We start from the raw sequence: 26,135 nt of genomic DNA, 5'->3' as shown, positions 1-26,135 counted from the left end.
GCAACCAATTATTATTTTAGAGATACAGTTAACAACCACCTGACCCTCATCTGATGGTCGCCTGAGCTTCCTAGTTGGGTTTGGCGGGGAGCCCTCTCCCGCTCTGCTCATGTCTTACTAGCTACCTACTATAGCATTTCCCCCCTCAAGAGTCCAAGACCCCAGTTATTTGGAGAAAATGGATGAAGGTGAGCCTTCTGTAATGGCTTCCTGCTGACAGAGGTTGGGGGGTTGTAGGTGGTTCTGTGAGTCTTGGCCTCTTGCTAGTTGTCAGAGCAGGAGGCTGTTTCCATGGATTGGGGAAACTGGTATCCAGCCAGGTCCAAGGGAGAGAGGGGCAGGATTTTGCCTCTGTTGTGTCTCACTGATGGGCAGTCTAGGGGGTCCCCCATAGAAGGGTAACTCTTGAATATTGAGAGGACACTATCCCTCACTGAGGTTCATCTGGAGCTCAATGGCCTAAAGGCTAGAGGAGACAAATCAGGTTATTAGAATTAGAGGAATGTTAAAACAAAATAATGGGGTGAGGACAGCCCCAAAAAAGAACCCTGAGGCTGCCTACACACCCAGGTAACTGGTGGCTATAGTCATGCCTACTAAGACTTGGGTACATGGGGTTGATAGCAGATTCCAATATGTGCTCAGAATTAGAATACTGATCCAGATTTTTACATTACCCATCCCTTTTGTTTCTTCTGAGCTGCAGCCAGAGATCACTGGCTGGTTCACAGGAATAAGCAGGATTACTCTAAAATGCAGGCAAAAACTTAAAAATAACTGATGAGACTAGCATCTATTAATAGAAAAATAACAGGTGTATCATAATTTTTGAAACACACTTTTTCTCTTTCCAGTCCTCATTTTTATAAAAAATCATGATAAAACTGATTTGTTTGCAAAATAAACTTTAGTTGTCTTATACTTGGCCTGATTATTTGCATAAAGCACAGCAAGAATAATTATTTGCCTAATAGGCTCCTGTTTAAATTGGCTTTGATGGAACTTCATTCCATAAGGAATCTCAGACAAGACTTTTTTTAAGGCTTAAACCCAGCCACAGTTTTATACCATCAAATACCTGAATGAGTTGGTAAATTCCTCTCCCTTGAGGTCCCAAGATAACCTGGGGCTCCTGAGCCTGTTAGAAAGTGGCATTCTTTACAGACCACAGGTTGGGAACCCTGTACAGGGACTGTGTAGACAAGGTATGAAGCCAGTTTTCACAAGGGGCTTTTATTGGCTATATAAGTCAAATTTGATTCCTTAAAGGAATGCATATCATTCCAGTCAAAGCCTTCGTAAAATAACCAGCTTCTCCAGTTGTGTTCTGTTGCAAAAGACAACAGATTCTTATTGTACTTATGCAAATAACTATACTGCCATAAGTTAAGAATACTCACAAGTAGTTTCCAAATTTTGAAGAAAGCAGGTAGAGAGAAACAAATATGCTCGAATTTTGTTTACAGGAGTACTCAATTATTAAAAGCTGTAAATAGCTCAAAAGAAAAGTTTTCTTGGTTTTGGAAAACAAAGGATTAGCAACATTTTAAGCAAAAAGTCATAAAAGGATTATTTCAATCTTCTATTAGTTTAGTCCATGCAGTTAACTTTTGTTCTGCTTGATATTCATGAACATTTTAGCTCTCCAATAAGAGTCCTGAAAGTTTTTTCTCTATTCTAATGTCTCAATCTTCAAAGTTATCAGAAGCCTGTATTTAGGAGCACCTGTTAGAGTTCTATAGCTGATTATAAAACCACCTTTTAAAGAGGGTTAAAACAAGACAACAATTATCTGTTAATGACAAAAAGTCTTAGGGTAGCCACAATCAAAGACACAATTGACAAAGAAATTTATTACCCCTGAGGCACAAAACAATTAAACATAATTATAATTATTCCTAATAATGTATACTATGTTACATTAGAATTATAGGAGTTTCACATAATTTTGGAACATGTACTGATAACACTTTAATCAAAAGCAGATTAATACTTTAATAAAACTATGTTGTGCTTTAATTCCAGTGTTTATGAATAAACTGAATAAAAGTCCTTTAATTTTGGGTAATTTTCACACATAGAATTTCTTTTATAGGATTAATTTTTCACAAACCTTCCACAACTTGCTCAAACCTTCAGCTTTATCCTATCTAACATAAAACAATCCTTTAACCCTCCAAACTAGGCAAAACTTACATTCCCATACCTTCTTACAATCTTTTAACAAAAGCACATTCTACTTTCCTTGCGTACCTTACATGTAAGACTGCTTTTCCAGTAGTCTCAAGAACATGTTACATGGCTAACTGTTCACAACTTTTACTTTTGCGAAAAACCTGATAAGTAAGCGATTCACTAGACAGAAGTGCATATAAGGTCTCTTTCCAGCATACCTGGGGGAATGGCTAACTCTGTAAGTCCCCAGGCCATGCCTAGCTTTAAAATAGTCAAGTTGTACAGTTAAAAGTCAAAGTGGCAGTCTATAAAGCATTTATTTAGTAGGTCTAAAAACCTTTAAAATTGCAGAACATTTCTTTCATAAATTCCCTTTCACAAATTTTTCACAATTTACACAGATCATCTATGACAGGCTTGGACTTTCTGACTTGTCCTAAATATCCCTCTTTTTAAAGAACCAGTCATTTTACTTTAGGACAATAATTTACCATGCAAGATCCTTTCTCATATGAAATCTCTTTTCTTTATCATCTTCCTTATGAAAAGTACCTCTTTACAACCTTTGAATTAGACAAAAGTCATATTCCTTCTGTTAGAAAGTTAAGATTTGTACTGAAAGTTGCTGTGCAAGTTCTGTGACGGGGAAGCAAATGAGGTTATTTACATACTATAGAAGTTATCTCCCCCTCAAGAAATTGCTCAGTTATATTTTTGCTAGGACTTGCCCAAATAATGGTGAGCTATTTCTAAACTCCTGAGGTAAGACCATCCAGGTTGAAGTTGCTGGTTAAAGATTTAGGTAGGTTTCCCAGGAGAAATATAGCTATTAGAGAGAAAAACAAATTCAGATTTCAGGTAAGTATTAAGCAGGCACCCATTTGAAAAGTATATTTTTGCCCAAAGGGATGTGAATCTCTTGGAGGGGGTGCCATTGGCCCCATTACCCAACAGGATTTGGAGGGGAGTTGCTTAGAGAAGGAGATTAGCACACAGTAGGCAGCTCTTGAAAGCAAAAGGGAAATTTATAATTTTACTTGCCGCCTCCATAGGTGACCTTGGCTTTGTCCTGTATGAGTGTTCTTAGGGCAACCTAGAGGGGGTTGGAGAACTCGTAAAGCAGCCAATAGTTGAGCCTGCTTCTTGTCCTACATGTCTCCTTTTTCTTAGCCCTGTCCTCCTTATTCTACTCTCACTTATAAAAGACTGAGGAGGCTAATCTGAGGACCTCCTGCACAGGGGAACTGGGTTCCAAGGCTGACTTTTGTAATTTCCTCCCAGTTTATTTTTAAGCCAAACAGTATTACAAAGGAAAACTGGTTTTTTTTTGTTTTGTTTTAACATTTGGTAGAATCAAACTTTTCCTAGTTTTGGGGGATGCATCCCAGGGGCATGTCCTGTGGTATGGGAATGTGATTACCCATCTGCAAAGAGAGAACAGGAGAGAAAAAAAGGAAAAAGAAAAAAGAAGGCATTCCCTCTACATTCCTATTATCCTGAATGGAGCATCCCCCATTGTCCTTTGGGTTCCGGAATTAACCAGCCTTACTGTGTACTCTTGGTCCCATCTCATCACAATTACCCACTTGAGAACAGAGGAGATACTGGAGTGAACAGTGGATCGCCTGTTCATCCTTGAGGTTCCAGAATAACTGATCTTACTGCATATCCCTAACCTTTCATCTCTGTTCTAATGATAATCTGTTAGCCTGGGAGCACCCTTCATCTCTGTCCTGTGGGTACTTTTGTCTCTTGCACCTGTAGCCTTGGGCTGGCCTATACCCTTATCTCCATGACTTTATAGTGACTCTTGCTTGGAGCATTCTAGCAATAAAAATGATGACCTTTTTTCTCAGATTCCCATTTCCCATGTTAAGCAGACAAAAGCCTGTTTTTCAGCTAACTGCCACAAGGGGGCTAGACTTCCCTCCCCACTCCTTTTGAATATGACCCCGAAGGTCCTAATTCATGTTGAGAAGAATGTGGAAGTAATTAGAGAAATGAAGTCTACGGGAAGAAGTGGGAGGAAGTGAGAGGAATACTCATGGAAAGCCTTCATATGCTTGCAAAAATAGCAGCCCTTGGATTCAAGAGGACAACGTTTATTTGCCCTGTTGACGTAAAGTAGTAACCTCCGGAGGACTTGGGGCTTGGGCTAATAACTGGCAGAGGAGGGCAAATTCTTCCTTTGCCCACGAATGGGGCAAAGGAAGAGGGGTGGCTTTTGAAGCAGTTTGTCTGCCTGCATGGGGCCTTACCCTGCCCTTTAAGCATCCCACCTATTTGCAAAAGCCACCAGGAAACCCAGCCCTGGGGTGTAACAGGAAGGAAAAGCATATAGTAAGTCATAAGGAGCTGGCAGAGCCGGAGTTCCAATTAGTGTTTGTCCCGGCAATGTGTCAGCAGACAGGGTTGAAAGGGTTGAAAGTCATCCAAGCTGGTAAGGTAAGAACAAGAACAAGTATAAATCTCAGGAGATATCCACAAGGAAGCCCATGTCTTTGCTGCCTCTCAAATGCATAAGAGCTGCGGGAGTGTGTGTTTAAGAGGTCACGTGGCATGCAAAGTAAGAGCAAAGAGACAGACTTGCCCCTGTGGCAGATGGTCCAGAGGGTGCACAAGTCCTTTTCAGAACATACACACAGAGAAAACAAGAGAATAGGCAGTGCAGGTTCTTGGGAAAGAGCCAATTTTAGTTGAAAAAGCAGAGGAAACCCCAGACATTGCACAGTTTTAGGCTTCAGCCCTACCATTCTGGTGAACCTCCTGTCCAGGAGGGCCATTCATGCCTCAGATCTACTCGGTGCAGATGCCACAGTCCTTCCCACCCCTGGAAGCCATCCATCAGAGTGAACTGAGAAATCAGCCAAGAGGAGCAGAGTCACTTATGGCTGAAGGACTTATTCTGGGGGTTGGTTAGCAAGCAGGAGAGAGAAAAGGAGAAGACCATGTACAAGGATTGAATGCCTCCAGCCAAAGAAGGTGTGGTAGAGGGGTCTCTTACCACTAGGGAACATATCTGAGTCATGCAGCATCAAAGTATGTTAGTGGCAGAAGTTATCCAAGTCCCACGGCACCAAAATATGTTACCAGTGGCCAGTATCCAAGTTACTGGGGCGAATCTGTATGAGTCTGCAGCAACCTCAATTCTTGCCTCCTCAGAAGAAAGAATTCAACTGAGGGACATAAGGCAGAAGGAGAGACTGAGGCAAGTTTTAGAGCAGGAGTAAAACTATATTAAAAGTTTTAGAGCAGAAACAAAAGGAAGAGAAATACACTTGAAGAGAGCCAAGTGGGTGACTTGCAAGACAAGTGGGTAATTTGACTTTGGGGTTTTATAAGTTGACATACTTCTGGGGTCTTTTATCCCTTTTCCCCGATTCTTCCCTTGGGATGGGCTGTCCACATGCGCAATGGCCTGCTAGCACCTGGGATGGGGACATGCGCCATGTGTTTACTGAAGTTGTATGCATGCTCACTTGGGGCATTCTTTCCTTACCAATCTTGCATTTCTAGAGGAAGGTCATATACCAGTTAAACTCCACCATTTTGCTTCTTAATGCTCATGCTCGAGCTCACTCACCCAGCTCCTGAAATCTTATTGGGAAGCTGCTGGTCACCAGTTTCAGGTTTTTTCTATCTATAGGGGGACTGCCTTTCCCTGGCACTGTCTGTGACCAATTATTATTTTAGAGAGACAGTTGACAACTGCCTGACCCTCACCTGTCACCTGACATTCCTGGTGTGTGTGTGTGGTGGAAGGGGGGGTGTAGTGGGGGGGGGGGGAACAAGGAGAAACCCTCTCCTGCTCTGCTCATGTCTGACTAGCTACCTACTGTAACACTTTTTCCTTACCATATATCTGTGGTTTGCTTGAGAACCAGCAGGAGAACTTTTTCTTTTTCTTTTAAGATATATTGAGCTGGGCATGGTAGCTCACATCTGTAATACCAGCACTTTGGGAGGCCAAGGTGGGCAGATCACTTGAGGACAGGAATTCGAGACCAGCTGGCCCACATGGCAAAATCCCGTCTGTACTAAAAATACAAAAATTAACCGGGTGTTGTGGCATGCACCTGTAATCCCAGCTACTCAGGAGGCTGAGGCAGGAGAATTGCTTGAACCCAGGAGGCGGAGGTTGCAGTGAGCCAAGGTCATGCCACTGCACTCCAGCCTGAGTGTCAGAGTGAGACTCTGTCTCAAGAAAAAAAAAAAAAAAATGAAAGATGTATATGCCATAGTCTCTCCTGGACTGAAATAGAGTCCCAAATTCATGCTTTTTTAGAGCTTTTTATATCGCATGCCCAGGACTGAAAATAACTTGGCTAGAGATATATAAAATAAATTCCAAAACTTTAAAATGATTTCTCCTACTATCATATTTTAAAATATTATCTTCTTCTAATTCAATTAATCAGTGATCTGCGTTTGAGAAGAAAACAAAAGGAAATATATTCCAGTACTTTAATTGAGGACAGGAGAAAATAAGATCTGAGCATTTGTCACAGTGAAGGTGAATATACTCCAGCATTCTGGCAGGGAACTGATAGTACATGCAAATGGGATTATTGAGAGAATTTAAAATAAACTATTTACCAGGTGTAGTGAAGGGTAAGGGAAAACCCAAGGGATGGGGTAAGTGTCCCAGGGTTTCCTAGTGGGAACCACCGGGCCTGAAGGGCAGGAGAGAGGAGGGGCAGCTGTAGGAGGGGGCCACCAAATAGGGGCTGTCAGGAGAGAAACAACCTGCAACCCAGCCAGGAGGAAACTAAATGCCCAAACCTCATCCTTCTGCCACCTTCCCAGCTCCTGCCAGCCCCTCCCACTGGCCAAACCCAGCTGGAGGCAGAGGGCAAGAAAGCTGGTTGATGCAGACCATGTAGTCAGCCTTCAGCCTTCAAGGGCATTGTGTAGAGTGGAGAAGGGTGGAGCAAGGGTTTAGAAGGGTAAATGGAGACTGTCTAGCTCAGTAGATGATCTTACCTCCGTTCATGGACACCTTAACTCCTTTATGTGCTTGGCAATTCATTGGTAACCTTCCTAGTTGCTTGGTACATGAACATTGTTGCTGCATTTGGGTAAATCTCCATATTTAAAGCCCTGTTTTTCCCAGATAGAAAATTTGTTTCCCCAGCCCCTCAATTGCAGCTAGCTCATTAGCTTGTGAATGAGAGTCCCCCAATTAGCATTATCCAAGCACAGCAGAGCCTTGCTTGAAGAAAGAAGCTTTAGGCAGAATTCATTGTGCTGCTGAGGATTGTGAGAGGGGTGACTGGCTTTCAGGGTCAGCAGAGGTAAGACTGAAACAGCACCTACATACTGCGGAGGGTGTCTTCACATCAGAAATGGCGGTGATGCTGGGGCAGTCGTAGCTTCAGTAAAGTCAAATTGCTGCAAGCATCTAGTTCATGTATCATCTAGTGGTCAGTGCTTGGAGCAGTACTGATTTTTCTCAACAGGCCAGTTCTAAAGTTTTGAGCCATTTCCGAAAGTTTGTCCTCAGGTCTGGTTCTCTGGCCTTCCCAACAAGTTTGTGAGCTACACAAAATCCTTGTAATAAATTACTTTTTTGACTAATCAGCCGGAGTCAGCTTTTGATGCTTGTGTCTATGGACCCTGAAATACATAATACTTCTATTATTTTATCTACTCTTATTTTTTTAAATCTCTTACATTTATCTAAATTAGACACTTAATAGGTTACTGCCATGTGATAGATGGACTAAGGAGCATACTGGCTAAATTCAGCTTTCTATCTGGAGCAAAAAAATGCTGGTATGCACATATTTTTATTTAAAAAACACAGCAGATTGAAACTGAGACCTTAAGGAACCTGGGTGTAAAATACCTTTGCTTTGTAAATAATTAAACATTAAGTAGAAATCATTTATCAAGCCTCCTAGTTATATCACTTTTGATATATGCTGTGGATGATTTTGTTGGAGAAATACCAATCTAGAAGAACCCAACCAGCTCTAGCTTTGCTACCAGTATACCATGAAGCTTGGAGCAAGACCTTTAATTTCTGTTTCTTCTTGCAGATCCAGAAATGAGGGGCCTATAATATAAGACCTTTGATATTCCTTTGAGCTCTAAAATCCCGTGATTACATATCTTTTTAAAAATCTTGAGGGAATATACTTGGCTTTTTCTGTATGTAAATCTTGAGGAACCACAGAATTTGCAACTCAATTCAGAGAGCTCTTGTTCAGTAAGAACAGTTTGACCCTTGACAGGGAAAACCATGACCTATTATTATTATTTTTATTGTTTAATATAGAGATGGGGTCTTACTATGTTGATCAGGCTTGTCTCAAATTCCTGGCCTCAAGCAATCCTCCTGCCTCAGCCTCCCAAAGTGCTGGGACTATAGGTGTGAACCATTGTGCCCGGCTCCTATTATTTTTATAATCAGCCAGTCGTCCTAACACTGCTAAAGACAAAATTCCCATTCAGTTTTTAAGCATGACAGCCCATGGCCTATGTACTAATTAACAGTCACAGAAAAGGGAAAGCATGGCAAGGTAGATTTTTTTTTTTTTTTTTTTTTTGAGATGGAGTCTCCCTTTGTTGCCCAGGCTGGAGTGCAGTGGCGCGATCTCGGCTCACTGCAAGCTCTGCCTCCCGGATTCACGCCATTCTCCGGCCTCAGCCTCCCAAGTAGCTGGGACTACAGGTGCCCGCCACCACGCCTGGCTAATTTTTTGTATTTTTTAGTAGAGACGGGGTTTCACCATGTTAGCCAGGATGGTCTCGATCTCCTGACCTTGTGATCCGCCCTCCTCAGCCTCCAAAAGTGCTGGGATTACAGGTGTGAGCCACTGCACCCAGCCGGAAAGGTAGATTTTTTAAAAACAGCTGTGGGCTTCTAATAAGCTGGGACGGGAAGCTCACACTTTCGCATTGCCATTCTTCCCCAAGCACATGGCAAAGATGGATAAACTAGAAAAAAAAAACAAAAAAATGATGACATTGCAGAGTTCAAGACAAAAAAAAAAAGATGATTATTTCCATGATGAGAATAAGCAATAGAATACAAAAGAGTGAGTTGGGCTGAAGCCACGGGCCTGCTGGCTCCAGGTCCAGAATCAGGTGGCGGTGGCTGGGTGACGGGAAGTCTACTACTCCACCTGAGAAAAGGGACCTGAATTTGAAGCATTGCTCTTAGACCGAGCTATGACTTATGGAATCTGTGGGCCCAGGGAGGTGTGAGGATACAGATGCAGTCTTGAAACCAGAAAAAGACCCAAGCCACATGTTGGCTTGGTGACTGGACCTGAGATATCTGTGACATTGTCATGACCTAGAGCCTTGAGCTGCATTTATAGCACCTGGTTCTGACATGGAATTCCAGAAAGCCGGGTGAAAAGACACCCACAAAACCACTGGATTTAGAGAAACAGTCACAGGGACAGAGGAGAGACAAAAAGACTGAAAACAACAAAAAACATTTTAAAATAAACCTGCAAATCAAAATTGCAAAATTCACGAAATCTAATCCTGAAAAAAATATACTCAATAAAATATGAAATCAGAACATGAATTCAGAACACAAATTCATTCAGAACATGAACTCACTCCAGAAGGAAATTAACTTTAATGAACAGTGTGACATATTGGTTAAAACAAGGAAGCTTAAAGAAACCCATAAGAGAATAACGATTATAAAAAGAACTAGCCGTCATGGAACTAAAATAGGCAAAAATAAAGCGAGAAGAGATAAATATGCAAAAATAACCAAATAGAAATATAGCCCTTGATATTTTAAAAAATACTTAATAGATGGAATGAACTCTAGACTCAGTAAGGGAAGTTCTGGTGAATGGGAAGATCATAAGGAGGAGTTCACACCAAATTCAACACAGAAAGACAAAGAGTTCAAATATATGAATGAGTGGTTACATGCATATGGATCCAGAAAAAGAGAATGAAAAGAATGACAGAGAAGGAACATAAGATGCTTAACATGAGAGCTTTTGTCCTAAGAATTATCCAGTTCAAAAGACATAAATCTCAGATTGAAAGTTCTCTCTTGATACCAGAAGAATAAATAAAAATAAATTCCCACCTAGGAGCATTGTAATGAGACTTAGAACATAAAGAGTACGAGGAAATCTTACATGTGACAGGAAGAAAACTCAGATTATCAAAAAGAATAACACTATGAGACTTCTCAGCAGCAACTCTAAATGCTACAAAGCAATGGAGAAAGCAGTCTTTAAAGTCGTGAAGGAAAAAAAACTTCCAACTTAGACTGTTATATCCAGCTGATCTTGCTCACGTTATTAACCTTTTCTCTCCCATCCCTACTCTTCCTCACTTTACTCTTCCCTCACTGACCTGGGGCTCCTTAACTCCATGATATGGGCACCAAGCACCTGCAGTCTCTTGTATCTCACCACCCTAGAGCAGCCAGCCACACCTCTGTGGCCTAGAGTTTCTGCTGCCTCCTTCCCTATACCATGCAACCTGGGCAACCAGGACCAGAAGCAGAAAGAAATGCTGCCCCCTTATCCTTCATGCAATCAAATTTGTGCAGCGGGTGGGGAGGAGGTAAGAAATATGAATGCCTGGGAAAAGGAGGAGCTCCAGGTAATGGGAAGAAAGATGTGACAGGACATTTTTGAAAGTTCAAATACATCCACATTCTGTTGAAACCTTGAAACTTTAAATATTTAGGCTCTTGTCATTATCTTAAGTTCTTCATGCTACTCTTGACGTCCCAAAAAGCAGTCTCTAAGTCACATAGATGATCTCTTGGGCATTTTCTCTCTCAGCCATGGAGAGCTATGAAAGGAAGAATCGCTGCTTTTCTCAAGCAAATCAGTTTCTTGATGTCTTTTGGTTCTCACTCCTTCCCTGCTCCTGATGCTTTGACCCCTTTTATAGATCAGAGGGCTCTAGGGTAATGAATGGTCTTGGGTGGTGAATAAAGGTGGATAAATAGGGACAGGGACAGTTAAATTGGGAGCCTTTTTTACAACCTTAATGGGTTTTTCCCCACCCCAAGTTTCCTTCTCCACTGAAATGCCACACCAATGCTTGTGGGATTTATGAGGTGGCCAGACCAATGCGTTGTTTTTTCTTTTTCTTTTTCTTTTTTTTTTTTAAGCTTCCCTTGAGAGAATAAATGGTAATGGAGAGAACTATTTAACAAGGTCCTGGTTTCTCTTGCAACACAGTAGCTAAACTTGCCTGCTTTTATGTGCGTTTTTGTAGGGATCAGCTTGGTAGACAGTATTAGCAGAGAAATGACACCTTGATCTTGGTTTGCAAGCACTTCTCCCATCAGTCCTAGATTAGGCCCTGTTCAGCCATGCAGGGGTGTTGGTTTATGTGTGCTGCAGCAGTGGGCATAATGAATATAATTTACCTGGTGGACAAAGGTGTGTACCAAGTGAATTTAAATAATTGGGGTGGATTGGCTAGTAGGTAAGAAGTGGGCTTTTAAAGAGATACTGAAGATTGAAAGATTTTTTTTTAAAGAAAAAAAACATTGATTGTAGGTAATGAAAAACTAGGGTTTGCCCTCTTCATATCTACTCTCCTTCCAAATAGTTGTATCCAAAACTGTTTTTCCCTCTCCCCTACCTTGCCCCCCTGTTAAAATAGAAATGGGGATTGATTAATGACCCAGCTCCTGAATACCTGTATAATTTGTACAAAAATATTTTCTATGAAAATGATTTGTAATCTGTAGACTTATTACCTGGGAGATGTCTTGAGATGTGAAATCCCATCCTTTGGGTTGTGGGTTTTTTGTTTTCTCCAAATACATCTGATCTTTAAAAAAAAAGAAAAGAAAAGAATGATGTGACAGGAGAGAATACTGAGAATTCAGCTATTGCCATAATAATCTATGATCTTAAAATGTTTCTCTTTCCCCTGTCATGTGTGTACATACGTGCATGCATGTTTGTGTGTATATGTGTGTGTGTGTGTGTAGTAGAAAGAGGGATGAGATGAGATCACTGAGATTTTGTAGTCTTTAAAATGTGGTTTCCCTCAACATATGTGTCTGAAATCTGGGGCAGCTAGTATAATAACACTGTTTCCTGACATTCTTGCATAACAGAGTTTAATGGAATTTCCCATCTAACCAAGAGTCATTCTCATTTGTGCTGTGAAATTGCAGTGGACAGGGCTCCTCCTACACAGGAATGTATTGACCTAAGGCCTGCTCTTTCCCCAGCACACAGTCTTACTGATGGAATCCTCTCTTCTGCATCTTCAGTCAAGTAATTTGATCTGTGTTCTGCATGCAGGAGGTCCCTGGCTCAGCACTTGTGTCTTCTTTTCAGTTTCTGGGGTTTTCATGTTGCTTTGAGGATGGAGTTTGTCCATGAAGATTTTTGCGTAATAAAGAGGTGTTTTATTGCAGGCCTTGTGACCTCTTGACCAATTAAACAGCTTATTGACACCACCTAACAACTTTTAAAGATACTTCACTGAAACAAAATTAAGGCCATTTTGACAACTTTGGCACAATCAAATTTAACTTCCCCAAAGTATTGCCTAAGTAGAAAGCAGAAGCCTTCCAAATATGATAGGAAGTGACAGATATTTTTTTAATTGATGAGAAATGTAGGAAGTAGATGTATTTCTGAAAAGCCAAGTAATTTAAGTTCTAGTCGAAAAATAAGGAATTAAAATATGTGCTATCTCTCAGCAGACTTGCAAATGAAGTGTCTTTTTATGACATTTATTGCTCCTTCTTTAATTACTAAGAAAAATATAGGAAGGGTAAAGGAGAAAAAAAAATCAGGTATTTTGGCCCTGCCTTAGAGATAGCCACTATTAAATTTTGGAGTCTACTATTTTATAGCCTGCTTTTTTCTCTTTGTATATAATAATTAACTTAATATATTATAACATTTTCTTATGAACTTTAATATGACTGCAGCATAACATTATTTTATGATTGCATAGTATTCAATTATGTGAATGTATCATAATTTGTTTAACCAGTCCTCTACTTTCTATTTGGCTGTTTCTGATTTCTCACTCTAATAAGTAATGCTGCACTGAACTCCTTTCTACAAAAATCTTTTTTGTATATCTTGGATCCTCTTTTAAAGTGACTTCTGAAACATTTTTTTTTTTCATCCTGAAGGCAAGAGTAACTACCTTGAGGGATAACTTTTAAGTGACTATTTTCTTCTAGCACAGGCTCTCCCAGGAGTGCTGACTTTCTGGTTCACAGTGATGTCAGTTACTGGATGGCTTGATGTTAGTTGCTAAGACGGCTGCATCCATTCTTAATGGACAGGCTCTCAATTAGTAAACTCTTCATTTCCTTTTTGAAACTCTAGAATTTCAAAGATGAATGGAATGCTTTTGTCATTCCATTCAAACCCATTTTAAAAAAACTGAAATGGCTCTCATGTCACCTTCCTGAAACAGCTAAAATTAATTTTGATGTATTTAATTTGAGATTGAGAACTGTTCTCCGAGAACTGTTCTCCAAGAACTGTTATTTTTGGAATTTTAGTAGCTGTTCCTGTTCTTTCACAATGCCAATTCATTAAATCTATCAGATCCATAATGTACATTTTAATTACCCCATCGTTGGCCAAGTAGAGTTCTGCAATACTTAATTGAAATTTTGGAGAAATTTGATGGGCATCTTAACACACGCTTCAGTCCTATTTAATATGAGTCAGAAAAAAAAGACATCTTTGGCTCACAAAGCTGCAGCCCTTACATTAAGTCTCTGTTAAATCCCAGCAACCAGAAAATGAAGTCACTTTGGACCACAGCCTAAGAACACAATGACTTCAGAACACAAAATCTTCAGTTAGGGAGAAGTTCATAATAGTCACCCTAACAAGAAGTAAAATTTAAACTCTCCTGGACAATAGTGAAACTGCTTATGCTCAAATAGCCAGAAAAGGGGGAAGGTGAGTGGCAGAGGAAGAAGAGAGTTTTCTCGGATTTGTCCATTTCATTTCATTGTTTTTTCTTAATTTGGTGTTTTTTGATAGTATAATATCTGAATGCATAATTATGGGACACAGTAGTTCTCATTTCACCACCACTAAAAATGTTAAGAAAATGCAGATTTGTTCCAGCTGACCTAATTACTGCTAAAGTAAATCTGATTGATTAAAAGAAAATCTTTTTCTCTCAATATAAATAACAATGTTCTGAGTATCTTGGGTTTCCAGGGTGCAGCAACTGAAAATAAAGTTTATGAACTATGGCAAATGCAACATATCTTCAGATATATCAAATTATCTGGCTGAAAACAAATAACTGGGGAAAACAGGCATCATGAAAGTACAGAATTTCCAGGTCAATTTTTAATACTTTTAGCAGCACTGACCCCAGAAGAATTATAATCAGTTTTTAATAAAGGCCAATTCAAAAGCAGCAGTGCAGAACTTAATATTCTTGGCACTTTTCATAATCATGGCTGTTTTCTCATAAACCGCTATCATTCAATTTATAAAAATTGGATAACGCTGCCTGGCTCATTAAATAGCTTACATGAGTTCATACTAACAGGATGTCAGAGAAAGAAAGAGAAGCCTTTAGAAGGGCTGGAAGAGGAGAGCCGAGGAGAAACAGAGGCTGCCCTGAGAACTTGGGGGGACTTGAGGCATGATTCCAACCACACCCTCCTCTCCCATACCTGAGCCAGAGCAACATTTGAGGAGCACAGAGTGACTGCAAGAATAAATGCTCCCTCATTTTTCCTCTTTATAATAAAACAAAAATTATGTGACCTTCCATCATCCATTTGTAACTCAAGATGACTCAGAGGTGGAAAATTAGAGGAGTTGCCTGGGGCAGTGTGTATGGCTGTTGATATGACTAAGGGGAGGAAGAGCAGAACTAGGACCTAATGAATCTAGAAGGATGGGGTTGGGCTTCTCCTGGGGAAATATAAGCATGTAAGTCACCAAGTGACAAAGCCCTATTCCCTGACTCAATGCATAGGAAAGAGAAGCACTGAGGGAGGGTCTATGGCATTTTAGATACCAATAATGATAATAAACAACATTAGCATTTAGAGTTTACAAAGAACTTTAATTCTTCTCTCATTTCTATTCCATGGACTCCCTTACATTTCTAACCATGGGTAAACTCAACAGGAATGATGCCTGAAATAGTATAACATTCCTGTTGTAAACAAGTGCTCGGCATAGCCAAAAGAAACCCACACTTAGAAAATTTCTCAGCAAGGCACCTTTACTTCTGCAGAAGGGTGCTGCTTGTGCCTGTTACAATCACAAGAGCACACCAAACAAAGGAGGGAAGGGGGTTTTTAACCCTAACACAGTTCCTGTTTCTGTGTCCTTCCCCTATTGGCTGAGGTTGGACCACACAATCTAAGCTGACCTGACTAAGACTTAAACCTTTCCAAATAGGGTTAACACGTAATTTGCAGGAAGGGAGTAGAGTTTATTCACAGGTGGCAGGAAGTTAAGTCTTTGAAGAGGAATGTAGTTGTCCTAACAATTTCCCCTCTTCTATTTTACAGTTCTTCCTCTTCAAATTTCTTCAATAGGATTCGGCCTTGTTGTTGTTCTTGATTATCTAGGAGCAAGAGCTTATCTGAGTACGTAGTGGGAGAGGTGGGGAAGGTTTTTGTGAGAGCTGCTTCTATGAGCCTTTGGGTTAACCCACGAATACAAGGTATGATACAGCAGCCCACAGAATGAGTACACCTGTAACAATTGGAAGAGAGGTAAAGATTGAGGTCATGAGTCCCCTCCATTTTCCAAACCACCTTTCCATCAGGCCCATAAGGGGTCGTCTATTCCAGAGTTTTCGGCTAATTCATTTGGTAGGGTGATAAGGCCTTGTAAGGCTTTTGTGATTGTCCCATCAGGGGCTGTATTATTAGGAATAAAGGTACAGTGCTGGACCCCAATCATGACACAGACTCCACCTTTTTTGGCCAACATCATGTCAAGGGCTATTCTATTTTCCCAGGCCATCTGGCTGGTAGGGCCTAACTATTCAGTTATTCCTTTTATGGCATCTCTGGTATAATTGACAAATTGCTGCTGACTGTAGTATATATAATTTATCCAGTCTACACTTTTGTTTATAGTGGACCACCAGAATAAGATAGACTCAAACCCAGCAGCTATTTGGTTTTGAGCTTTGAATTTATTTTGTACCCCCTGCAGGACCCCAATACTGTCTATGTAAACGTGGGGGTCAAAGGACCCATGAGGGGTTTCTCATTTTTTTTCAGGTTACCTGTTTTTTGTCTGGTTGATGAAATGCCAAGGTGAAAGGGATGGCCAATTGGATTAGGGTGCAAGCGCTGTTCCAACTGCTTGGCAGTGTACCCAGTATTGGTCTCCCACAATACCACCACACATCCACTTGGCGATGGACTAGGGCTGACTGATTGGTGAGCTCTTGAAAACATTAAGGCCCACTACATCCTGTCAGGTTTCCAAGGAATGTCAAATTTTCCCCTTGCCGTGAGAGACATGAGGTAAAATTGGCATTGTGAGCTGGAAGTCAAATGGGCCTTGGGGGCTGTCCCATAGGGCTCCTGACCTTTGGGAAAATTAGTAAAAGAGCGGCACATGACTTGTTTCCCCAGGCTTTGGAGTGCTGGAAGAGAGCTACTATACAGTCCATACCTGGTTGGTTGGCCCATCTGAGTGGGAAGGGAACAGTTTCCGTCTCTGGCCTGCCCATTGCACAAGCGTAACAATTGCTGTTATTTAGGGTGGGACTGGAATATTTAATCCATTCCAGCCAGGCGTTTACATCTTGATACCCGGTTTCTATGGCTAGGGTTTGCTTTAAGTCTTTGAATTCTACTACAGCTACTTTGGTTTTGTCCTTGGGCATGAAGCAAGAAATGGTTTAATTTTGTGGGTTTGGGGAAGGAGCAATGGTGGGAGATGGAGGAGAAGAAACAAAGCGCATTTGAAAGAAGCCCATAGGGTCCTTTCCAGTGATGTCCACTCCCAGGCCATAAAAGCACTTTAAAGTGGGTGTAGGGTTGGTGGAGGTAGGGATATTAATAGAGATAAGTACTGGTTTGCAAAGATAAGACCGACAATTGGGGGAGAAGTTCCTTTGATGAAGTGGAGGTAGGGTTTTAGTTCGGTGCAACCCACTGAGGAGGTCCAGCCCTGATATTTAGTGGTCCAGAGAACATCGCCCCACTGATAACATAATCCCCAACTTCAGGTGTGTCCCCACCAATTGCAAGAGGTGGGGGTGTCAGTTTCTCTGGAGGGGCAAAGGTATTTTTCTGAGGAAGCTAGGTGTCTTTGACTTTGGAGATCCCCACAAGGCATGACAAGACAAGCATCAAATGTAATTGTTTGGGGAAAGGGTGAGCGGGTTACATTCATGATAAGATGTCCTCCTGTAGCTAAAGGAAGAAGGAAAAGACAGATTAAACCCTTTTGAATGTTAGTTTGGAGAGCGTTGGTCCTGGAGTGATGGTCCATGACTTTGCAGAGGGTGGGGCCCTTTTTACTCGAGTGTGGTGGGTCCACCCTTTCTCGGCCATTGGATTGCTGTCTCAGTGGTTAGGAGTACTAGATAAGGTCCTTCCCAGGTTGGTTTGAGCTTTCCCTCTTTCCAACTTTTGATAAAGACATAATCTCTGCGCTGGTGTTGGTGAACTGGGAATTCGAGGGGTGGAGTTTGCGCTAGGAGGCCTTGAGTCCTGATGGAGGAAAGGGTGGAAGACAGACCAAATACATATTTTTTTTGAGAAAATGATTTTTTTGTTTGCTTTAAATGTAGGAAGGTCAGTAATGGAATTTAGATAAGGCAGCCTGTAGAGCATTTCATAAGGGAACAGGCCAAGATATTTTCAAGGGGCAGTTCGGATTCTTAGTAAGGCAATGGGAAAGCATTTAGTCCAGGGTAACCGGGTTTCAAAGATTAATTTGGTTAGGTGATTTTTTAGAGTTTGATTCATTCTTTATACCTTCCCTGGTGAGGGTGGATGCCACGGAGTATGATATTCCCATTTTATTCCTAGTGCTTGGGTTAGCCCCTTAATGATGTGTGCAGTGAAGTGGGTCCCATTGTCCGAATCAACGTTCTCTATTAGTCCAAACCTGGGTATGATATGTTCCAACAGTGCTTTGACTACGTTACTGGCCGTTGCACTTGGGAAGGGGATGGCTTCTACCCAGTGGGTGAGATAGTCTACTATTACTAGTAAATACGTGAGGTGGCCTATTGGGGGCATTTCAGTGTAATCAACTTAGACGCTTTGGAACAGCCTCAACCCTGGGTTTCTTCCCCCAAGAGATTGCTTCTTTAGGGTTTGCTTATTAGTTTTTCTGCACACTATGCAATCATCCGCCACTTGCCTAGTGAGGGTATATATCCCTACACACCCGTAGACTCTGAGGGCTGCATCGCACATAGCTTGTGGACCCCAGTGAGTTCCTTGATGAAGCTGTGACAATATTTCCCTTCCATCTGGTAGTACCCACTTTCCCTCTGGGCTCTCCTTAGCTCCTATTTTCTTTAGTTTCTCTTGGTCTGCAAGGGAGAAGATGGGGATCACAGCTGGATAGGAGGGACAAGGGGTTAGATGGCAAATGGGTGCCTCTTGGGAAGAGGCAGCTTGCTTAGCTATTTCATCAGCGAGGTTATTTCCCCGGCTTTCAAACGATGGGTTATTTTGTGTCCTGGGACATGCAATTTTTGTGTCCTGGGACACGCAATTTCTTCCAGCACCTGAAGATTTTCTAGTACTTGCATAATTAATTCCTTGTGGACCAAATCTTGGCCCTTACTATTGATGAGGCCTCATTTAGTCCATATCTTACCAAAGGTATGGACTACTCCGAAGGCATACTTGGAGTCAGTGTAAATAGTTCCTTCCTGATTCTGCAGGGATTTTAATGCTTGGTTTAATGCAGTTTACATATTTAGGCAGACCAGTTATTTGGCAGTCTTCCTGACTCTACCTTTGTAAGGGTTTCCCCATCAACTACAGAGTACCCGTTGTGCCCTTTTCCTCCAATGACCAGGGAGGAACCGTCTATAAAGAGGTGACGCCCTGTTTGGAAGGGGGTTTTGCTTAGATCCAGTCTGACTCTAGTTTGATAACTGATTAGATCTAAGCATTTATGCTCAGGTTCTTCCGGGTTTGGATTTCCTCTTAGGAAAGCAGCAGGGTTGAGTGAATTGTCAGTGGTTAGTGTCAGGTCATCTCTCTCTAGTAAGATAGCTTCATATTTTAAAATTCTTGAGTCAGTGAGCCATCTCTGATTTGGGTCCCACTGTAAAATTTATCAAGGGCTCTTGGTGGGACTCGAGATGGAAGATGTAGAGCCCCTGACCACTTATTCTTCTTCAAATGTCATGAGTGGAAGGACTTCCTTCTCTCTCTCCCATTCGGGACATTCCCTCTTAAAGTGTCCTGGCTTTCCATGCCTGAAACATCTGTTTTCCCCTCTCCCCCTTCCTGTTCCCTGACTGTCGGGTTTCATCCCTTTGCTTCCTGTATAGGGTCTGGCAGCCGGGTACTTGGAAGATTTACAAGTTCTATTTCCCTGGGCTCCCTGTTGAAGAGTTCCCTGTTGTAGGGTGGACAGCAAAATTTTTGCCTTTTGCTTCCACCTTTCCTCTTCCCTCTGTACATATACCTTTTCCCAATTTTCTATCTTTTATAATGTCTTGTAATGTCTGGCCAACTGTTGGTGACAAAGTGGAGTTTTAACATCCCTTATCCCAGTGGGTCCTCTATGTCTAAACCTCCATATTTTCTTATCTGTTCCTTAAGTTGGTTTAAGAATTCCATGGGCCCTTCATCTTTCCCTTGTTGTACGTTAAATGCTTGGGAAATATTTTGGGTTAGAGGAACTGATTCCTGAATCCCTTTAATTATCAAATCTCTGAGATCTCTCATGTTTTCTGAATGGGCCACGTTGTTGTTATCCCACTGAGGATCCGTGTCTGGTCATTTATGCTCCGCTGCAAGGACATTTTGACCAGGAGAGTGTTCGCACTCGCAGACTTTCATAGCAGCCCTGTGGTTTATGGTTCTTTCCTCTTCTGAGAAGAGAATACCTGGAACAGACATTAATTCAGCCCAAGTTTACAGTTGTGGCCCCAGAAATTGGTTAATTTGATCTGCAACTCCAAAAGGGTCATCTAACAGTGGCTTGACTTCCTTTTTTAGATTTATAAGCTCTAACTGCTTAAGGGGGTCATTTATGAAGCCAATAGCCAATATCCACTCCTCCTAGCAGTACTTCCCTTAAGGGAAAAAGGGATTGGGCAGACTTCTTTGAGGAAGAGGGGAAAGGAAAGTTTTGAATACCCCTTTGGCATTGTTCTATTTCTCACTGGAGCTTTCCTGAGGAAGAGGCATGTTCGAGTGGCTGTCCAGCAGGGATGTGGGGTGGCAAGGCCCATGGGGCAGGGTTATATGGGGGAGGGACTGAGTATTCAACTTGGGGCAGAGGAGTAGGCAGGGGAAGATGGACTAGAGGATCCTATGCCTCTTTAGATATAGAATTTGACTTAGCTAGGTCGTCCTTGTGGGGTACTGAGTTTGGTTTTGCTTTTTATCCTTTAGGGGATGAAGAAGGACAGGTCCTTGTCTCCAACATATAGCATAATCTATCTCCTCTGGAGAAACTGGACTTTTATCATTGACATACTGGATCAGGAGTTGGCATATCCAGTCCTTGTCTGACCCAAACTTTGGCCAAAAGACCGAAGGTCTGAGGATGGGTTCCTTAGTCCAAATAAAACAGCAATACTTTATCATTTGCTGCCTTTTCCTGTGTTTGGTCCTTTCATTATCCTTCCAGCATTTTAGCATAAGGCTTAGGGGACTGTCAGGCAGAATTTTATTGCCTGCTTGGCCTTTTGTAGTCCCTGTCTTACTTGGGGTATTTCCCATCCTGGAGGTTGGTGAGGCTCAATCTCTCATATTAGAGATTTCTTGCACCTCCGTGTCCCAGAGGCTCAACCTCCCCTTTTCCCACTGGAGGTTTCTTGCACTCTCGTGAGCACTCACCTGTCCTTATTGGCCACTTCCCTTGTGGGAATTTTAGATCCCTCTTAGCATTGGTGGGTCAATATAATCCCCCAACTGGAAAACCGCCCTAAGCCGTATGAGGTGACCACGGAACCAAGTCCAGACTCCACACTCGCTTCTCACCCAATGGCGAGTCTCACTCACACACTTTCAACCTCCAGAGATCCTGACCACCAAGGAATACTTTGTCGCCCCAATAGCGATGTTTCTTGCCTTGGTCTGTGCACAGAGTTACCTGGTCGCCGTAGAGTTCTTAAGGATCCTTCTATGCCCGCATTGCTCAGAGTCTGGATTTAGTCATCACTTTGGGCAGGACTTGATCCTCCGCTGCTTGGGCCACCACAACAAGGCAGTGGGACGCATCTCCCCATGCAAGATAATCGCTAGCCCCTCCCAAAGGAGAGTGGGATCTCAGATGAGCCCCCAGATTTGTTGGAAACAAGTGCTCAGTGTAGCCAAAAGAAACCTGCACTTAGACAGAAAATTTCTCAGCCAGGCACTTTTGCTTCTGCAGAAGGGTGCTGTTTGCACCTGTTACAATCACAAGAGCCCACTGAACAAAGGAGGGAAGGGGTTTTTAACCCTAATACAGTTCCTGTTTCTGTGTCCTTCCCCTATTGGCTGGGGTTGGACAGCACAATCTAAGCTGACCTAATTGGCTGAGACTTAAACCTTTCCAAATAGGGTAAATATGCAATTTGCAAGAAGCGGGTAGGATTTATTCACAGGTGGCAGGAAGTTAAGTCTTTGAAGAGGAATTTAGTTGTCCTAACATTCCCAAGTTGCCAGGGAAAGATTCAGTAGGTTTTAATTAAAATCGCAAGAGAACCAGATTCCAAGTGAGTATTCAGCACACAGCAGTGTTACACTGTGGACTTTGCTGCACAAGAGGATTCACTCAACAGGCTCTCTAGGGTCATTCAGAGAGATCGAATATCCCACTACTTACTGAGAAGGAAACTTGAGAAATGCTGTGTTGCTTTCTAGAATCACTGATTTGCAGGCAAGTCTTACCCTGAGTATGGTAAAGAGGCACTAGAAGGGACTGGGAAGACCTAGCTGCCTATAAGCCTTTACTCCCCTCTTAGGTGCACGTATGCCATTTTCAGAAAAAGAGAACAGTGTTCACCTATTCTCCAATCTAGTAAGGCTGGCAGTCCCAGATACTGAGTCAATGACCAAGACTGAACTCTCTCCCTCATTTCAGATTGCCAGTGCATAATTTGACCCTGGGAAAGAGAGTTCCATATTGATATTATACCCCTACTGAAGTTTACAAACAGCCCGCAACTTCCAATATCTGGTCTTGCCTTTGATATCATAACTTTTTGCATTGCTAACATAAATCTACTTCACCTAGGAAGAGCATTAACTCCCAGAGAACCATCGCAGTCAAAGCCAACAGCTCTTCTTTCAATGTTACCATCCATAGCAGGGCTCTAGCATTCCCTTGAGCCAGCTTTGGCCTTGTGATTTTTATGAAACCCTGTGTCCATGGTTTCAGCAGCACTAGCTATGGGACCAACAATCTGAGCTATCTTGACATTAACATTCACAGAAGCTCAGTAAAGTCTTTAGCTTTGGGAGATGAGGAAGGCATTCCATGGAAGTGCCTGATGTTTCTCTCTGCTCAAGCATAAGTAAGTCCACATTCAGCCTCATAGCCCTGGGGATCATTGAGGAAGCTCCCAGGGCTGTGGAAATGGATCAGGAATTCCCCAAGCCTTGGAGTTAGGCCTGCAAATTAGCCCGTTGAATGCTAATTTGAGGTCTGGTAGTAAGGGACCAACAGCTGTTGGGGACCCCAGAGAGGCAAGTGGATAGCAAGCAGGGCTTCAGATGGCTTCCTCTCAGGGCCTCCTAAGCAGCTGGGCCACAGAACAGAAATTCTCTGGAGCTTTTCACTGTTCTAGCTGCCACCTTCGTCATTCATGAGTTTTGGTAAAGGAAAGACACAAAGAAGATGATTCAGCACGAGAGAAGTAGCAAGGCAGGAGAAATAATGGCAGAAAAACTTGGAGAATGAACAATTTAAGAGAATACAGGCAAAAGCAGGAAGTAGGATTGAAAAAGAGCAGTTACTGAAACTGTAGCCCATCTGTAGCTGTCAGTGTCTGATACCCATGATTTGCACTTAGCTTTTGACCAAACCTCTTAACAGTTTTTTGCGTTAACAGGAGATGTCCTTATATGCGTTTTGTAGATGGAGATATGAAGGGTAGGGACTGAAGTATCTTTGGCCAAGAACACACAGTGAAGTAGTCAGATTTTCCCAGCCCCTCATTTATCATCTGGCCTTTGAGACTAAAATGCCTTATTATTTAAGGCTTAACCAGTGTATTTTCTTTGAAACCTCTTCCTCATTGGGTTCCAAGACACAATTTGCTGTTGCTATTCTGCACACTGCTTAAGGAGAGATGATTGTACCATCGTTTTTCCAGAATTGTAGTGAAGCATCAGAATGATGCAAATCAATTATACATGTAAGAGATGAAAGCAACTTTGGAGATCACTGAGCTCATCTCCTCATTTTCTAGATTAGAAACCTGAATATAATCCAGAGAGGTGAAGAGGTTTATCCAAAATCACATGGCTGTGCAGGGAAAGCTGGAACTGCAACATAGATATCTTGATTCCTAAGCAGTTATCTACCCAACAGTCTTACCAGACAAAGATTTGTTTCTTTTCTGAATATATCCAATCCAAAGTAGTTAGCGTTCCCAGAACATTCCAAGTGGGTGACCAATAGCAAACAACTCAGTGTGATCTAAAGCACTGATTTCTGGTGTTTTCTTCAAGGACGTTTTTGGTTTTCAATCTGTTAACCATAAGGAATATTGAATTTAGCAAAGTACATTGACGTTTTCTATGCAACATGTTAAGAACAGCTGAAACCAATTAAATGCTAATCAATTTTATTCTGTCTGATGTAGAGTGGAAAAAAATGTTCCAAAGGTCTCTCCACCCTGAGATGTTCTTGGCAACAGGTCTCTGTGCTGTGGGCCCCCTCCCATCTCTCTTAGTCATGTACCCTCAAGAAGAGGAGACCTGGCCAACTCCCTTCAGATCTAAGATGAGAGCAGAACTGAGTCCAGCATTTTCCCTTGAAATAAAAGTTTATCCTTCCAAAAGCACAGGCAACCAAAGTGAAAATAGACAAATGGGATTGCACCAAACTAAAAAGTTTCTGCACAGCAAAGCCAGCAATTAAGTGAAGAGACAACCCATGGACTGGGAGAAAATATTTGCAAACCATATGTCTGATAAGGGGCTAATATCCAAAATATATAAGAAACTCAATTGCAAGAAAACAAATAACTTGGTTTTAAAATGGGCAAAAGATCTGAACAGACAATTCTCAAAGAAAGATACAAGTGGCCAACAGATATATGAAAAAAATGTTCAGACATATCTAATTATCAGGGAGATGCAAATTAAAACCACAATGAGATATAGCCTTACATCTGTTAAAATGACTATTATCAAAAAGCTGAATGATTACAAGGGTTGGTAAGTATGTGAAGAAAAGGGAACCCTTGTATACTGTTGTTGGGAATGGAAATTAGTACAGCCATTTTGGAAAATAGTGTGGAGGTGCCTCAAGAAAACTAAAAATAAGGCTGGGAGCAGTGGCTCATGCCTGTAATTCCAGCACTTTGGGAGGCTGAGGCAGGCAGATCACCTGAGGCCAGGAGTTTGAGACCAGGCTGGCCAACATGGTGAAACTCAGTCTCTACTAAAAATACAAAAATCAGCCAGGCATGGTGTCAGGCACCTGTAATCCCAGCTACTCAGGAGGCTGAGGCAGGAGAATCTCTTGAACCCAGGAGGCAGAGATTGCAGTGAGCTGGGATCGCACCATTGCATTCCAGCCTGGGCGACAACAGTGAAATTCCATCTCAAAACAAAACAAAACAAAAAACAAACAAACAACAACAACAAAAAACACCTAAAAATAGAATGACCATACGATCCAGTCATCCTGTTTCCAAAGAAATTGAAATTTGAAATTAGTGTATCTAAGAGATACCTGCACTACCATATTCATTTCAGCATTATTCACAATAGCCAAGATATGGATTCAAATTAAGTGTCCATCAAAGGATGAATGGACACAGAAATGGTGGCATATATACACAATGCAATACTATACAACCTTCAAAAAGAAGGAACTTCTGTTCTTCACAGCAACATAGCTGGAACTGGAGGAATTTGTGTTAAGTGAAATGAGCCAGGCACAGAAAGACGAAATACTGTGATTTTACTTATATGGAAAATCAAAAAAAGTCAATCTCATAGAAACAAAGAGTAGAAGGTGGTTATCAGAGGCTGGGGCAGGAGAAGGGATAAGGAAAGGGACAATGTTAATCACCAAAAAGTACCAAGTTTCAGTTAGACTGGAGGGATAAGTTTTAGTGACCTATTGCACTGTATGATAGGTGACCACAGTTAATAATAATGTATCATATATTTCAAAATTGCTAAAAGAATAGATTTTTAACTATTCTTTTATTGTCTCTTCACTATTAATCTCCCAACAAAAAATTATGAGTTGGTGAGGTAGATATATTAATTAGCTTCATTAATCTTTCTCAAATGTGTATAAAACATAGATCAAAATATCACATGGTACCCTATAACTATTTGGTTATTAAAAGTATTTTTTGTTAATTAAATTTTTTTTTAAAATTCATCCTGGGAAGAAAGAAAGCTGCAACTCTGAGGCAATGTATATCACAACTATGAGAATAGGAGGGGTGGAGGAAGACAGTGAAATCCAGCCACATCCATCCTCTGTGGCCACCTCATGGACTTAACCAACCATCTCTATTACCTAATCTCCTAATGCCAGTTCCCCCAAGCTCCACCTTCTTCCATAAGAGACAGACAGCAAAGCCAAAGGTTTTCAAATCCAACAAATTAAAGTTTGAATTTGGGCTCTGCCAGTTATTAGACG

The 26,135-nt window shown here is 41.6% G+C and overlaps 1 long non-coding RNA gene across 1 annotated transcript, besides 1 other annotated feature; it reads right to left on the bottom strand.

The window, feature by feature from the left end:
• Nucleotides 1-111: 111 nt before the first annotated feature.
• Nucleotides 112-24,311, bottom strand: LOC107986121 (uncharacterized). Its single transcript, XR_001740868.2, has 3 exons — nt 23,844-24,311; nt 11,885-11,958; nt 112-466 (listed from the first exon to the last, which is right to left on the bottom strand). It is a non-coding gene; the product is annotated as an uncharacterized LOC107986121 (long non-coding RNA).
• Nucleotides 10,729-11,298: an enhancer, noted in NCBI's record as "OCT4-NANOG hESC enhancer chr3:120219013-120219582 (GRCh37/hg19 assembly coordinates)". NCBI's record gives its function as "activates a minimal SCP1, AML or CMV promoter by ChIP-STARR-seq in naive H9 embryonic stem cells {active_cell/tissue: H9 hESC(naive)}" and the evidence as "EXISTENCE:reporter gene assay evidence [ECO:0000049][PMID:30033119]".
• Nucleotides 24,312-26,135: the final 1,824 nt, after the last annotated feature.

This window comes from Homo sapiens, chromosome 3, assembly GCF_000001405.40.
Source record: "Homo sapiens chromosome 3, GRCh38.p14 Primary Assembly".
Classification (NCBI taxonomy): domain Eukaryota; kingdom Metazoa; phylum Chordata; class Mammalia; order Primates; family Hominidae; genus Homo; species Homo sapiens.
This window is presented reverse-complemented; position numbering and strand designations above follow the sequence as displayed.